Source organism: Homo sapiens, chromosome 6 (assembly GCF_000001405.40).
Source record: "Homo sapiens chromosome 6, GRCh38.p14 Primary Assembly".
Lineage (NCBI taxonomy): Eukaryota > Metazoa > Chordata > Mammalia > Primates > Hominidae > Homo > Homo sapiens.
In genome coordinates, this window is record NC_000006.12 from 28,489,520 (window position 1) to 28,503,122 (window position 13,603).

Below are 13,603 nucleotides of genomic sequence, written 5' to 3' on the forward strand. Positions count from 1 at the left end.
GTTCTGTGTCACGTGGGGCCTCTCAGGAGGGGTGCGGAGGTGGGGGAGGGGCGGGGAGCAGGACTCCACTGCTTTGGCCTCAAGGAGTTTGGTCGACACTTGAAGACTGACCAAGAAAAAGTAATTTGTCCCAGTTTTCTCCCACCCTTTGTTTTCTTCTGCTCCTCTTGGGCTTGTTTTTTTTTTGGGGGGGGGGGTTCTTTCTTTTTTCTTTTCTTTTTTTTTTTTTTTTCCCGCAGTAAGTTCTGAAAATCGCCTCCCAGAGGAGATAACGCGTTCTCCTCTGTAACCCGTCCTTCCACGTCCCGGTGGTGGGGGGGGGGGTCCCGGTTCTCATTCTTTCGGGGACCTGCAAGGAGCCCCGCCCGCAGGCTTTGAACCGATTTCGGCTCCGCGTCCAGGAGCAGGCCCTACGTAGGGCCGGGGGAATTCAGGTGCGTCTGCGGGGCCCAGGGCACCCAGGGCAGGCGGGGACTGAGACGACTGAGGGTTGAGGGACAAGGAGGTTGGGACTGGGGAGGGGAGACCCGGGACCCGCCCAGAACGCTTTCGTGGGGTTGGAGAGGGCAGGACACAGCCTCTCTGGGCCCGGTAGTATGCGAAGACACGCATAACGCAAAAGGATTCCCGTCCTGGACTTTGGGAATTAAGGCCCTGAACACATTGAGCAAAAAGTAGATCTGTCTGTACAGACGTTTCTTTCCACGTCTTTCATAGTAAGGACTTTATTAAAAAGCAGGCACTCGAATCCTAGGTGGGTAGATGGGAGGCTGGGGCTGGGGATGGGGACGTCCTCTGTTTTCTGGTTGTGCACATTAAAAATAACTCTCTGCTGCCTACTCCTAAACGCAGCCGGCAAAAATGAGACGTCAACTAAGCGCCGTTTCAGTCCCAGAGCCAGGTCGTCCATGGGGGTTTTCAAGCGTTTTCTCGATGACTGATTTTTCTAGAAGCGAATGGATTTTATTCTCCCAGGTGTAAAGGCTACCTCCTGCTTCACACCCGGGTAACATAAAAGACAGCGCTGGGACCGAAACTCGGGTCTCCTGGGTCCTGGTTGGCTGGAGAGAGGGGCAATGAACGTCCCGAAAAGAATTCTGTCTTTTCTCAATATCTGGGAGGACTCATAACAGGGTAGATAATCAGGATGGATGTTTGGCAGGTGGGAATCTTTGAGACGGTCTGTGCACACAATTTTAACTCTACTTTTGCCAGTTTGGAGGACATGAAATTCCTGATGAGTGTATGTTAAAAGGGAATAGAGAAGGTAATATACACAACGTTCTAAAATAATTGCTTTTCGTGGAGGCAAAGTGGCTAAGCAGTCCAAAGCGCTGGATGAAGGCTCTAATCTCTTGGGGTGTGGAGGTTCTAGCCTGTTTAGCCACAGAAGTCATGAAACCACTATGTGGTATTTGTTAAATAATGAGTTTTGATACTTAAAATAAAATGGAATTATTGGAGTGAATTTTGTTTGGTTCTGTTGAATTTGTTATTCTTACACACACTAGCCAGATTCTACTTATTTGTGGGCGGCAAGCCACCCAGGCACCGAGGCAAGAGACAGAGGACACGAGCTGTTCCAGTATAATAAAATATAAAACAAGAATAGTTATACCAAATATAGATCTTAGATATGATTATATATGAAAATCATTAATCATTAGTTTGTAGCAATTACTTTTTATTCCAATATTATAATAATCCTCGCTCTATAATCATAGCCTAGGAAAAACCAGGCCTTACAGAGATAGGAGTTGAGGGAACATAGTGAGGTGTGACCAGAAGACAAGAGTGCGAGCCTTCTGTTATGCCCGGACAGGGCCAGCAGAAGGGCTCCTTGGTCTAGCGGTAACGCCAGCGTCTGGGAAGACGCCCGTTGCCGAGCGGACGGTGGTCTAGCAGAAGCCTCAGTGTCAAGAAAAAACACCGGCTGCTTAGCAGACCGGAAAAGGGAGTCTCCCTCTCCCCGGGGGAGTTTAGAGAAGACTCTGCTCTTCCACTTCTTGTGGAGGGCCTGACATTAGTCAGGCTCGCCCGCAGTTATCCGGAGGCCTAACCGTCTCCCTGTGATGCTGTGCTTCAGTGGTCACACTCCTAGTCCGCCTTCATGTTCCATCCTGTACACCTGGCTCTGCCTTCTAGATAGCAGAAGTAAATTAGTGAAAGTACTAATAGTCCCTGATATGCAGAAATAATGGCGTAAGCTGTCTTTCTCTCTGTCTCCTCTCCCTCTTTGCCTCAGCTGCCAGGCAGGGAAGGGCCCCCTGTCCAGTGGACACGTGACCCACGTGACCTTACCTATCATTGGAGATGACTCACATTCTTTACCCTGCCCCTTCTGCCTTGTATCCAATAAGTAACAGCGCAGCCAGACATTCGGGGCCACTACCGGTCTCCGCGCATTGGTGGTAGTGGTCCTCCGGGCCCAGCTGTCTTTTCTTTTATCTGTCTTGCGTCTTTATTTCTACACTTTCTCGTCGCTGCACACAGGGAGAGACCCACTGACCCTGTGGGGCTGGTCCGTACACTTATTAACATTTTATTTGATATGTTGATCTTTGGATGTATGAATTTGATTGTTCTCATTTGATTTGTTTTGTTTTTACTTTGGGTTCTATTTATGTCAGGTTTTGGTAACCTTAATGAATGGATTAGGCAGTTTTCCACTTCTTATGCCCTGAAACTTTTCAACCCAGAAGAGTTACCTGATCCTTGACAATTTGACAGCACTTGGCCTAAGAGAATGGGGCCTTTTCATGGGGCTTAGAAATGGAAAGAGACTTTTGACAGCCTCTTCATCTATTACCGTGGTTATTATTCTGTGAGGATGTGTCATTTGAGTGTGTCATATAGTGCCTCTGATTCTCAGTTGCTTATTTGTTGAGAGATAATGATACTGAATATTAAATGACTTACTGCTTTTAAAATTCTAGTATGATGCCTGGGCCATGCAAGCCTTCAATCAATGTTATTTATTATTATCACATCAATATTGGTAATTTATATTGTCCTAAATCCTATCTCATTCACTATGCTTAGATTATCAGGGATTATCAGATACAGAGGTAGAAAGTTGTAAAAAAATGCTTTTTATTTGAGATACACATCTCATCTCTATTTGTAAATGTGTCTTCTTCACTAATTTTGAATTCTAAGTTTATATTTTCCCTTAGACATTCCACAGATTTGTATTTCAGTTTTATTTACAAAAAAAACTTTCTTAGCTCTCCTAGCATGTAAACAGATTTTCTCTGTTGATTCCTTTCTTCTGCTTTCATTTGGTATGTTTTGTTGGTCTTTTACTTGCTTCTGAAGAGAAATACTCACCAGCATTTCAGTCATTTAAAGTCTTTCTCATTTACTTAAAAAATGCACTTAAGTTACAAATGTTCCCCTCTGACCTGCTTTTGTAGCATTCCACAGTAATGATATATGTTGTCTTATTGACATTCTATTATACCTGGCCTGTAATTTTAGTTTTGATTTTCTCTTTGAGCAAAGATATTTTTAGAAGCATTTGACATTAAGTATAACATTTTATACTTTTCTGATTATATTTTGATGCTGATTTCTATCTCTATTTTCTAGCACAGTATTAATTTTCTAAATTAAAAAGTATTTTGATATTTTCTTATTAGATCATTGTATAGTCAATTCTTTAATTTCTTTGGGCAATTTAAAAATTGTGTTTTCTCTATAAAGAATTTTATGATATCTATCAGGTCAATGTTTTATTCTTATTTGTCTTTTATAATATTACTTATTTCTTTGTCCACTGATATTTCTTGAACTTAGAGCAATAAATTGAAGTCAATTACTAAATTGTCTCTGCCTTTCTACTTGTGTCTCCACTGAATTTCTGCTGAATGAAAGTTGCTGCTTTATTTTGAGCATGAATATCAAAAAAACCAAAAATCTTTACCTCCACTTAAACTGTAATTTTTAGCATTTTGCAGTACCCTTCTTTGTTTTATTTAATGAGTGTTGTCCAAAATCCCACCTCACATGATTTTAAATCCTTGAGTCCTTTCTTTTTGTGAGTTTGCCTGATATTTTTGTCTGTTCTTTATTTTCAAACTTCCTGATTGTTTCCAAGCCTGTGGGTAAGTAGCAAGCTGTGGGGAGGCAGTGTGACAAGGTATATGCAGGAAACAAAGAGCTCAGAGAGACTAGTTTTTTTATTTTCACAGCATTTTAAAAGCCAATGACCCTAATTAAGAGATACTTAATCTTCCACTGGTTTATGTGGTCATAGTGAAAATTACAGTTGAGATATTGAATATAGCAAATGTGTAGCTCTGTGGAGAAATTGTGGCACTGGAATCTCTGATTCTAGCCAAGAACTTCCCAGAGGCATGAGTAAAATGTTCCCAACTTGAAAATCTAGTGCAAGTAGAAGATTCAATCTTTTAATGTTGATGTTTTCTAGGTTCCATATTTGGTTGCCCTTTTTTCTGAGATGGTATTCAAAGGAATATTCCACACACTCATATCTTTGAACCTTTCAAAATACTTCCAAATATCTTGCATATTTGGAATACTGATAACTTCCAAATATCTTGCATAAAACTTTTTAGAATGCCATATGATTATAGCCAACTGCCTACAAGACATTTCCACCTTAGTATCTCATAGACACCGTGGACTCATCAAGTTCCTCCTATTATTGCTTTTCTTTTTGAGTAGCACCACAACCTAGTCTGTTAAAGTGAAAACTGTGTGATTACTGTAGATGACTCTCTTTGTCCCCTCATGCATTTTTTTCATCAGGTGAATATGATGTAACTGCTGTTTAGATTCAAATAGTGATCCTTCCCTAACTAGCCATGGCAATTAGTATGATATTCTAAGCAGAACCTGCTGTTGTGAAAACATAATTTGATGGAATTGAGAGTTTTTGCTATTCAGTTAAACTCTTAGTGAGTCAAATATGCCAAATGTAAAGTTCTATTTTTAATTTAATATTTGTTTTGTCTCTCGAGAAGCTTTTATTCTAAACAGAGAGATACAAATCTGATGTTTTGATGCACACATTAAAAAATCTGAATCAAGTTTGGCATAAAGAGATACTTAAATTTGCCAAAATACTTATGAGAAATAATCATAAATGATGGCATATATTATGCCAAATTTATTTTTTTTTGCATGAAGGGAATTGTGGAAATTGACCTGATTAGTTTGGACTGTCAAGAGCAGAGTTGAACCATAATCCCCACAGCACCTCAAAATCCTGAGACAAGCTTTTCATCCCCCACATGAATACTGTTTTCTGTCCCTTCTGTCCCCCAACTAATGGGGCCCCTTAAAATGTAGGATGGGTTTGAGCTTTGGTTCTTAACAAAGGACCCAGTTATGGAGGATCTGGAAGTCTTTTTTTCCCCCTGGGCCTTATACCCCATACATATAATGCAAGGCCCACATCAGTTATCCATTCACTCTTAAATTGAGAGAAGACAAGTTAGAAAAAAGCGTTGAAAGTTTGTTTATATTTGGGACTTAGATAGGGTCTGTGAAAATGCAGTGCTGGTTTAGGAAGGCATGAAGTGGCTGGTTTCAGAATTCCTTGACAGCAGACATTGAGAGCTTGGTTTTTACATAATGTTGCAAATTATGAATATAGATTGAAGCCAGAAGGTACTCATGTGCCCTTATAACTCTTAAAATACAGTGATTTATGCAAATTTACTTTTTCAACTTTTTTTTTTTTTTTTAACAGAGTCTCGCTCTGTCAGCCAGGCTGGAGTGCAGTGGCGCAATCTCGGCTCACTGCAACCTCCACCTCCCGAGTTCAAGAGAGTCTCCTGCCTCAGCTTCCCAAGTAGCAGGGATTACAGGCACCTGCCAACATACCTGGCTAATTTTTGTATTTTTTAGTGGAGACGGGGTTTCGCCATGTTGGCCAGGCTGGTCTCAAACTCCTGACCTCAGGTGATCTGCCTGCCCCGGCCTCCTAAAGCGCTGGGATTGCAGGCATGAGCCACCATGCCTGGCCAATTTTTTAAACTTTATATTAGGCTTTTAAAATAGATTATTAAAGCCATTAATAATTCCTCTCCTCCTTTGGTGGGAAGTTACAGTCTGAGGACTCAATTTTTCTCTAATAAGAGGATAGAAAAATTGAATGTCATTTAGTTTTGATTACCATTCATCTTTCTGCTCCTTTCCAAATAACACTATTGTTTGTTCCATCATATATTCTATTTATTCTATCTGTAACATATCTTCCATGTTACTAATGTACTTGTATGTGTATTTAACACAACTTATGAATTCTGCTTCTGTCTCACAAGCTACTTATTAATTTATGTATAGTTAACACATCTTCTGAATTTTGCCTTATCTTGTAAGCTATTAGCTTACGTACTATCTATATTGGTTTTATCCATCCAATTTGTTTTCCTATTTCCTATATCTGAATATAATAAAATCATACAGCAAACTCATATTTCAGGAGCCATTGAACTTAGAACTCTTTGTTTTTGGAAGGGGAGCCCTAGAAAGTCAGTATTCTGAATAGAAATGACTCTGAGGCTCTACAGATAAAGATAAAGCTCTCTTTGCCAGGTGTAGAGTGTCTTCAAACATAACTTATTAGGTGATAATTCCATTTCTATTAACTTGTCTGGCTGGAGGCAAAGAAATACAGAGGAAATTGGAAAGAGAGAAAAGAATAAAGACCTGGAAAAAGGGAAGATCCTTGAGTTATCTTTGCCTTAGTTCCTCTGAAGTTATAATCTAAAAATTGGTATAAGCTCTACATACACTCTAGGTGGCACTCTGAGGTTATAAAATGGTTCATATGGTGAGTTGAGGCCACTGTGTTTTGTTTCATTTTATTTTATTTTATTTTGAGACAGGGTCTCACTCTGTCACCCAGGCTGGAGTACATGGTGCAATCTCTGGTCAATGGAGCCTCGACCTCCTGAGTTCAAGTAATCCTCCCACCTCAGCCTCCTTAGTAGCTGGGACTATAGGTGTGTGCCACCACACCTGGCTAATTTTATTTTTTGTAGGGATGGGGTCTCACTATGTTGCTCAGTCTCAAACTCCTGCCTTGGCCTCCCAACGTGTTGGGATAACAGGCATGAGCCACCACTCCTGACCCCACTGTATTTCAAAGGCCAAAAGGAGTCCAAAAGAATTAAAACTGGTTTTCTTTTCCCTTTACAAGGAATCAAGAAAAGGTAGACAGTCAATATGGTTTCATAAGGAAAATTTTAGAGGGGCATGGAATCCCTATCCAGGAACTTCACAGAGATTCAAAGAAAAGAAAGTTTGTAAACTAACACTTGAAAGAGCAAGAGAAAACTTGCAATCAGAGCAATGCCAGCTGGAGGTCAGGAAGGGAAGCGGTAAAGAAAGAAGAGAAAATGAGAACTTTTTATTTTACTCCAAATCACAATGTATTTGAAAATATATATTAAAGAAAGATTATTTTGGCACTTGATAAAGTGCTAGTAAAGACTAAGACTACTGCAATTAGCGAGAGAGACTGAACTCAATGGGGACAAATGGGGATTTAAAGCCAACAGGCAGAGTGAAGGTGTCGTAGATGATGGAAAATTACTAAGCACAGATATCAAAAGGAGGAAGAGTCTTGCTAAACTGGCCTAACAGGATTCTTGCTAATGGTAGGCTAAGGACTTAGAAATTAAGGGTAGAGGATTAATAATCTGTGCAGATACCAGACTTGGGGAGATTCTCAGTAAACTGATAGAAGGAGTCTTGCTGAAGGTAGTCAAAAGCCAAGGCCTACTTGAGAAGGCTAAAAGAAAAGACTGTGTTTCTATACTCTCACAATACTTCTGACACCATATGTGTGGGTTTTCCACTCCAAGCAATTCTCCAATTCTGCAGACACAAACTGGGTGTTGACACTGCAACTCAATTCTGACACTAACTACCTGTAATTAGTGCAGACCCTATAGGTGAAGGGCTCAGTTCCACAAGACTGCCCCCCACTTCACATGTCAATCATAAGTCCCAGGTTGTCACTCATATTTCTGACCAACTGCTGTAAATTGAGGGTTCCTATGACCTCCCCCTGAAGTTTGACAATTTGTTATAACAACTCACAAGACTCAGGGAAACATTTACTTACGTTCATCAGTTTATTATAAAGGATATGACAAAGGATATAGATGAAGAGATACACTTGGCAAGGTATGGGGAGGAATATAGAGCTTTCGTGTCTTCTCTGGGGGCACCACACTCCCAATAACTCCGTGTGTTCACTAGCCCAGAAGCTCTATGAGTTCTGTTGTTTAGGAGTTTTATGGAGATTTCATTACACAAGCATGATGGATTAAATCATTGGCTTTTGATGACTGGGTCAATTATCAGCTCCTCTGCCCTCCTCAGAAGTGGGCTGGGGTGCTGAAAGTTCCAAATCTTTAATCGCCATGGATGGTTTCTCTGGCAACCAGACCTCACTCTGAAGCTATCTGGGGACTTTCAGCCACCAGTCATCTCATTAACATACACAAAGACAGTTATTATTTAGGAGATTCCACGGGTCTTAAAAGCTCTTGTGTTGGGAACCAGGGACTAAGACCAAATGTAACAAAAGAACCTCTTATCATCCCTATCACTCAGGAAGTTACAAGGATTTTAGAAGCTCTGTGCCACGAGTTGGGAGGAAAGACCAAATAAACATATTTCTTATGATGTCACAAAGGCTCAGAGAACCCTGACTAAAGTTGGGTCAAGGAGGGAGTCTTTGTCAGATAACACATATTGAATTTGGACCTAAATGAAGATGATGTGGATCAGAGACTGAGGAAACTAATAAACCAAGGGCATGGCTGGATTGTCCATGTTAACCCTGGGGGCACCTAAGGACTGAGTGGGAGGCAGTGTGGCTTGATTGTGCAGAGCAGTCAGTAGCCACATGAAGTACAAGAGAAGTTCTCCTTACTCATCCTATGTCAAAATGACAATATTTTCTGCAAATTCTCCATTCCTTAGAGCAGTGGTCCTCAAACTTTAGCATGTATTAGGATCAACTGGAAGCCTTTTGAAAACAGACTGCTGGACCTACCCCAGGGCTTCTGGGTCAGTGAGCCCAGGAGAGATATGAAAACTGCATTTCTAAGTTCTCAAGTGATGCTACTGCTGCTGGCCAGAGGACTATGCTTTGAGAATCAATTTCCTAGAGACAGAAGTCAAGAAAGGGAAAATGATGACTGATTGTCAAGGTCCTTTTCTCAGGGCCTCTACTCGAGATTTCCCTCAATAATGACTCATTTGTGGAGGGTAATAGGTGGTCTCCACAGCCTTACCCAGATGGGCTTTACTGGGCTAGTGCCTGCATCTCCACTTGCTGTGAGTTTTGGCTGCTAATGGCTCAGAGCTGCTCCTTCTCCAGGGTATTAACTCTCAGTGGCCACCTTCTCCAAAGAATTTTCTTCAGCCAAAGGGAGCCACCTCGCCTGGGAGTTTATGCCTCTAGAGTTCAAGGGTGGGCCCATAAGCCAATGACTGACTCACATGGGCTACAAGAGGCTATGTCTCATCCTTCAAGATGGGACTGATTATAGTGTGATTTTTTCTGAAGCTAAGCTCCAGCAGAAATTGCATTTTAATTCTCTCTTTTCCTGGCCTTATCCTGCTTCACAGATTCCCTTCTTCTGAGACCATTCTTTCAATAAGCTATATGTGCCTCAATTCTTGTCTCAGATTCTGTTTATGGAGAACAGAAGCCAAGTCAAGAGGTGTTCATAAGACCACAGAAGCAATATTTGATGTGCTCTGGGATAGACTGTGTCCTACTTCTCATATTTTGAGAATTCACCTCCCAGAATTAACACGGGTACTCTCCAAGGCTAAGAGCCACCTGTGTCCACACAGTCCACAGAAAATATATTACATCCACAGACTAACTGCCACAGGGGAGACCACAGTGGTTTATTACCTCCTGCTATGGGCTGCTTTGCAAATCTGGGAATAGGTTGATTAGAGAGGGTCTGAGTCCTGGTTTTCTAGGACCTTAGAACCTTCCCGTCCTGCCTGAGAACTCTCTCCAAAAGTTTTGTGATCAGTGGAGCCTTAATGATTCTAGATGCCTGGTAGGTTGTTTGTGGGGTAGTGGATTTATGGACCCAATTAGCTCTAGTGTACCTGATTTGCGTAATAAGTTGTGGGAACTTCTGGTTAGAAGAAAAAAGTTCCACAGCAATAATAGTGCCTGTGATGGTAATGATGATAATCACCTGATAGTAACCTTTTAACTACTATGACAGACTGGAGCTCCTTAGACACTCCTGAGAAGTCGACCCACTTCCAGAAGGTTCTAAGTGTAACTTTCGTTGGGGACTAAGCTCTGCTATTGGGATTGGTTGAGGAGGAGAGAAGTGGAAATTTTTATGTCTTGATCCTCTCTTTATAAAGACATTTTACATTATTATTATATTTTACATTATTATTATTGCCATCATTATCATCATTGTCATCATTTGTGACATTCTGATCTGGACTTCTGGCCCCCAAACCTGCCCCTCACCTATGCCCACCTCCCACTGCAAGGACATTTCTGTTTCTCATTTCTATGGTCTTGGCTCTCTCCAGAAAAATGTTTATTTTCTCTTCAGGGACAGCCACTGGAAGGCATTAGGAGGATAGAACCTGGATTTTCAGAGCAGTGGCAGGATGAAGACCTTTCCCGCATACTCAGGCACAAAGCATTCAGGCTGAAGGCTGCAGTCCTCTTTCTTCATTACTATAGGAATGTTGGTCACCTGGAGCAACTGCAGGTTCCTGGGTTAGGCTGAACCAGTAACTGGAGAGAATTTTATACATTGTGTCAGCTCATCCTCTCCACCTACTTTCTGGACCTTGGTTATCCAGATCTTACCAGGTCTGGAACCCTTCTGAAGACTATTAAGGTCCCAGAGGTACTTAACCACTTCAGAGATTTAAAAGAAGCTAAAAAATGAAACATATTTCTTAACACCACTGGTAGCTGGTTCTGTAATCTCCTCACTGCTCTCACAACCGCCATAGCGGTTAGTAAAAGATTTATGGAAATCTCAAATCCTATGGTTTACAGCCAAGGAAAGCCCGATTTTTTTAACTCATTTTTTCTTACTAGATGTTAAGTTTAAGAAGAGAAAACATCCAAATATTTTGATAATATTTCCCATTTTTCATGTATCAAATATCCACCATTTATGAATTTTAAGGTCTTAAAAATCATTTTCCTAACAGTTTTTGGTTTAGTCAATTTTCATGTTGCTGAATAAAGATTAAGTCATGGATCACATTTCTTCTTTCTTCCTTTTTTTTTTTTTTTTGAGATGGAGTTTTGCTCTTGTTACCCAGGCTGGAGAGCAATGGCGCGATCTTGGCTCATTGCAACCTCCACCTCCAGGGAACAAGCAATTCTCCTGTCTCGGTCTCCCAAGTAGCTTGGATTACAGGCATATGCCATCATGCCCGGCTAAATTTTTTGTATTTAGTAGAGACGGGGTTTCACCATGTTAGTCAGGCTGGTCGCGAACTCCTGACCTCAGGTGATCCACCCTCCTTGGCCTCCCAAAGTGCTGGCATTACAGGTGTGCACCACTGTGCCCAGCCCATATTTCTATTTAGGTACACAGCAGGATTACGATCCCCATAATGTTTGAAATTACTCACTGATTTAAATTTCCTGCATTTTTTAAGTGCAAAAAATATTTTTAAGTGCTAATACCTATGTTCCAAGTAATTTGTAAAAAGAGAAAGAAAAACAGTGATTTTATTTTACTTCCTCATCTAATTTCTTTCCTTAATATCTGGTTTTCTGAAATCTGCTTGAATTATAAAACACTGTATTTTAACTATAAAACAGCACGGGGCAGATAGGGCTTCCTAGCAGGTCCTTTGCACCTCTGATTAGGAGTGGGTTTTGTTCCACTTTGTTTTGTTATGCTTTTTTACTTTTATGTGCTTTCAGATTTTAACAGTGAGCATGAATTAATTTTATAAACAGAAATATATGCCCTCTCCCTCTCCGTCTCCCTCTCCCTCTCCCCCTCCACCTCCCCCTCCCCCTCCCTTTTGCACGGTCCTCCTCTCCCCTTTGCACTGTCTACCTCTGATGCCGGGCCGAGGCTGGACTGTACTGCCGCCATCTGGGCTCACTGTAGCCTCTCTGCCTGATTCTCCTGCCTCAGCCTGCCGAGTGCCTGGGATTGCAGGCGCGGGCCACCACACCTGACTGGTTTTCGTATTTTTTGGTGGAGACGGGGTTTCGCCGTGTTGGCCGGGCTGGTCTCCAGCTCCTGACCGCGAGTGGTCTGCCAGCCTCGGCCTCCTGAGGTGCCGGGATTGCAGACGGAGTCTCCCTCACTCAGTGCTCAACGTTTCCCAGGCTGGAGTGCAGTGGCGTGATCTCGGATCGCTACAACCTCCACCTCCCAGCCGCCTGCCTTGGCCTCCCAAAGTGCTGAGATTGCAGCCTCTGCCCGGCCGCCACCCCGTCTAGGAAGTGAGGAGCGTCTCTGCCTGGCCGCCCATCGTCTGGGATGTGAGGAGCCCCTCTGCCCGGCCGCCGAGTCTGAGAAGTGAGGAGCGCCTCTTCCCGGCCGTCATCCCGTCTAGGAAGTGAGGAGGTCTCTGCCCGGCCGCCCATCATCTGGGATGTGGGGAGCGCCTCTGCCCCGCCGCCCCGTCTGAGATGTGAAGAGTGCCTCTGCCCGGCCGCGACCCCATCTGGGAACTGAGGAGTGTCTCTGCCCCGCCGCCACCCCGTCTGGGAGGTGAGGAGCGTCTCTGACCGGCCGCCCCGTCCGAGAAGTGAGGACCCCCTCCGCCCAGCAGCCGCCTGGTCTGGGAAGTGGGGAGCCCCTCCGCCCGGCAGCCGCCCCGTCTGGGAAGTGAGGAGTGTCTCCGCCCGGCAGCCGCCCCGTCCGGGAGGTGGGGGGCAGCCTCTGCCCGGCCAGCCGCCCAGTCCGGGAGGTGGGGGGCGCCTCTGCCCAGCTGCCCGGTCTGGGAAGTGGGGAGCCCCTCTGCCCGGCCGCCGCCCCGTCTGGGAGGTGGGGGGGCCCCTCTGCCCGGCAGCCCTGTCTGGGAAGTGAGGAGCCCCTCTGCTCGGCCGCCACGCCGTCTGGGAGGTGTACCCAACAGCTCATTGAGAACGGGCCATGATGACAATGGCGGTTTTGTCGAATAGAAAAGGGGGAAATGTGGGGAAAAGAAAGAGAGATCAGATTGTTATTGTGTCTGTGTAGACAGAAGTAGACATAGGAGACTCCATTTTGTTCTGTACTAGGAAAAATTCTTCTGCCTTGGGATGCTGTTAATCTATAACCTTACCCCCAACCCTGTGCTCTCTGAAACATGTGCTGTGTCCACTAAGGGTTAAATGGATTAAGGGCGGTGCACGATGTGCTTTGTTAAACAGATGCTTGAAGGCAGCATACTGGTTAAGAGTCATCACCACTCCCTAATCTCAACTACCCAGCGACAAAAACAGTGCAGAAGGCAGCAGGGCCCTCTGCCTAGGAAAACCAGAGACCTTTGTTCACATGTTTGTCTGCTGACCTTCCCTCCACTATTGTCCTATGACCCTGCCAAATCCCCCTCTCTGAGAAACACCCAAGAATGATCAATAAATACTTAA

At 43.4% G+C, this 13,603-nt stretch overlaps 1 long non-coding RNA gene across 1 annotated transcript, besides 1 other annotated feature; it reads left to right on the forward strand.

The window, feature by feature from the left end:
* Positions 1 to 210: 210 nt before the first annotated feature.
* On the forward strand, positions 211 to 1,468 carry LOC124901295 (uncharacterized). Its single transcript, XR_007059538.1, has 2 exons — positions 211 to 434; positions 853 to 1,468. It is a non-coding gene; the product is annotated as an uncharacterized LOC124901295 (long non-coding RNA).
* Positions 13,339 to 13,539: a silencer, noted in NCBI's record as "peak5745 fragment used in MPRA reporter construct". NCBI's record gives its function as "represses an SCP1 promoter by STARR-seq MPRAs in K562 erythroleukemia cells {active_cell/tissue: K562}" and the evidence as "EXISTENCE:reporter gene assay evidence [ECO:0000049][PMID:32103011]".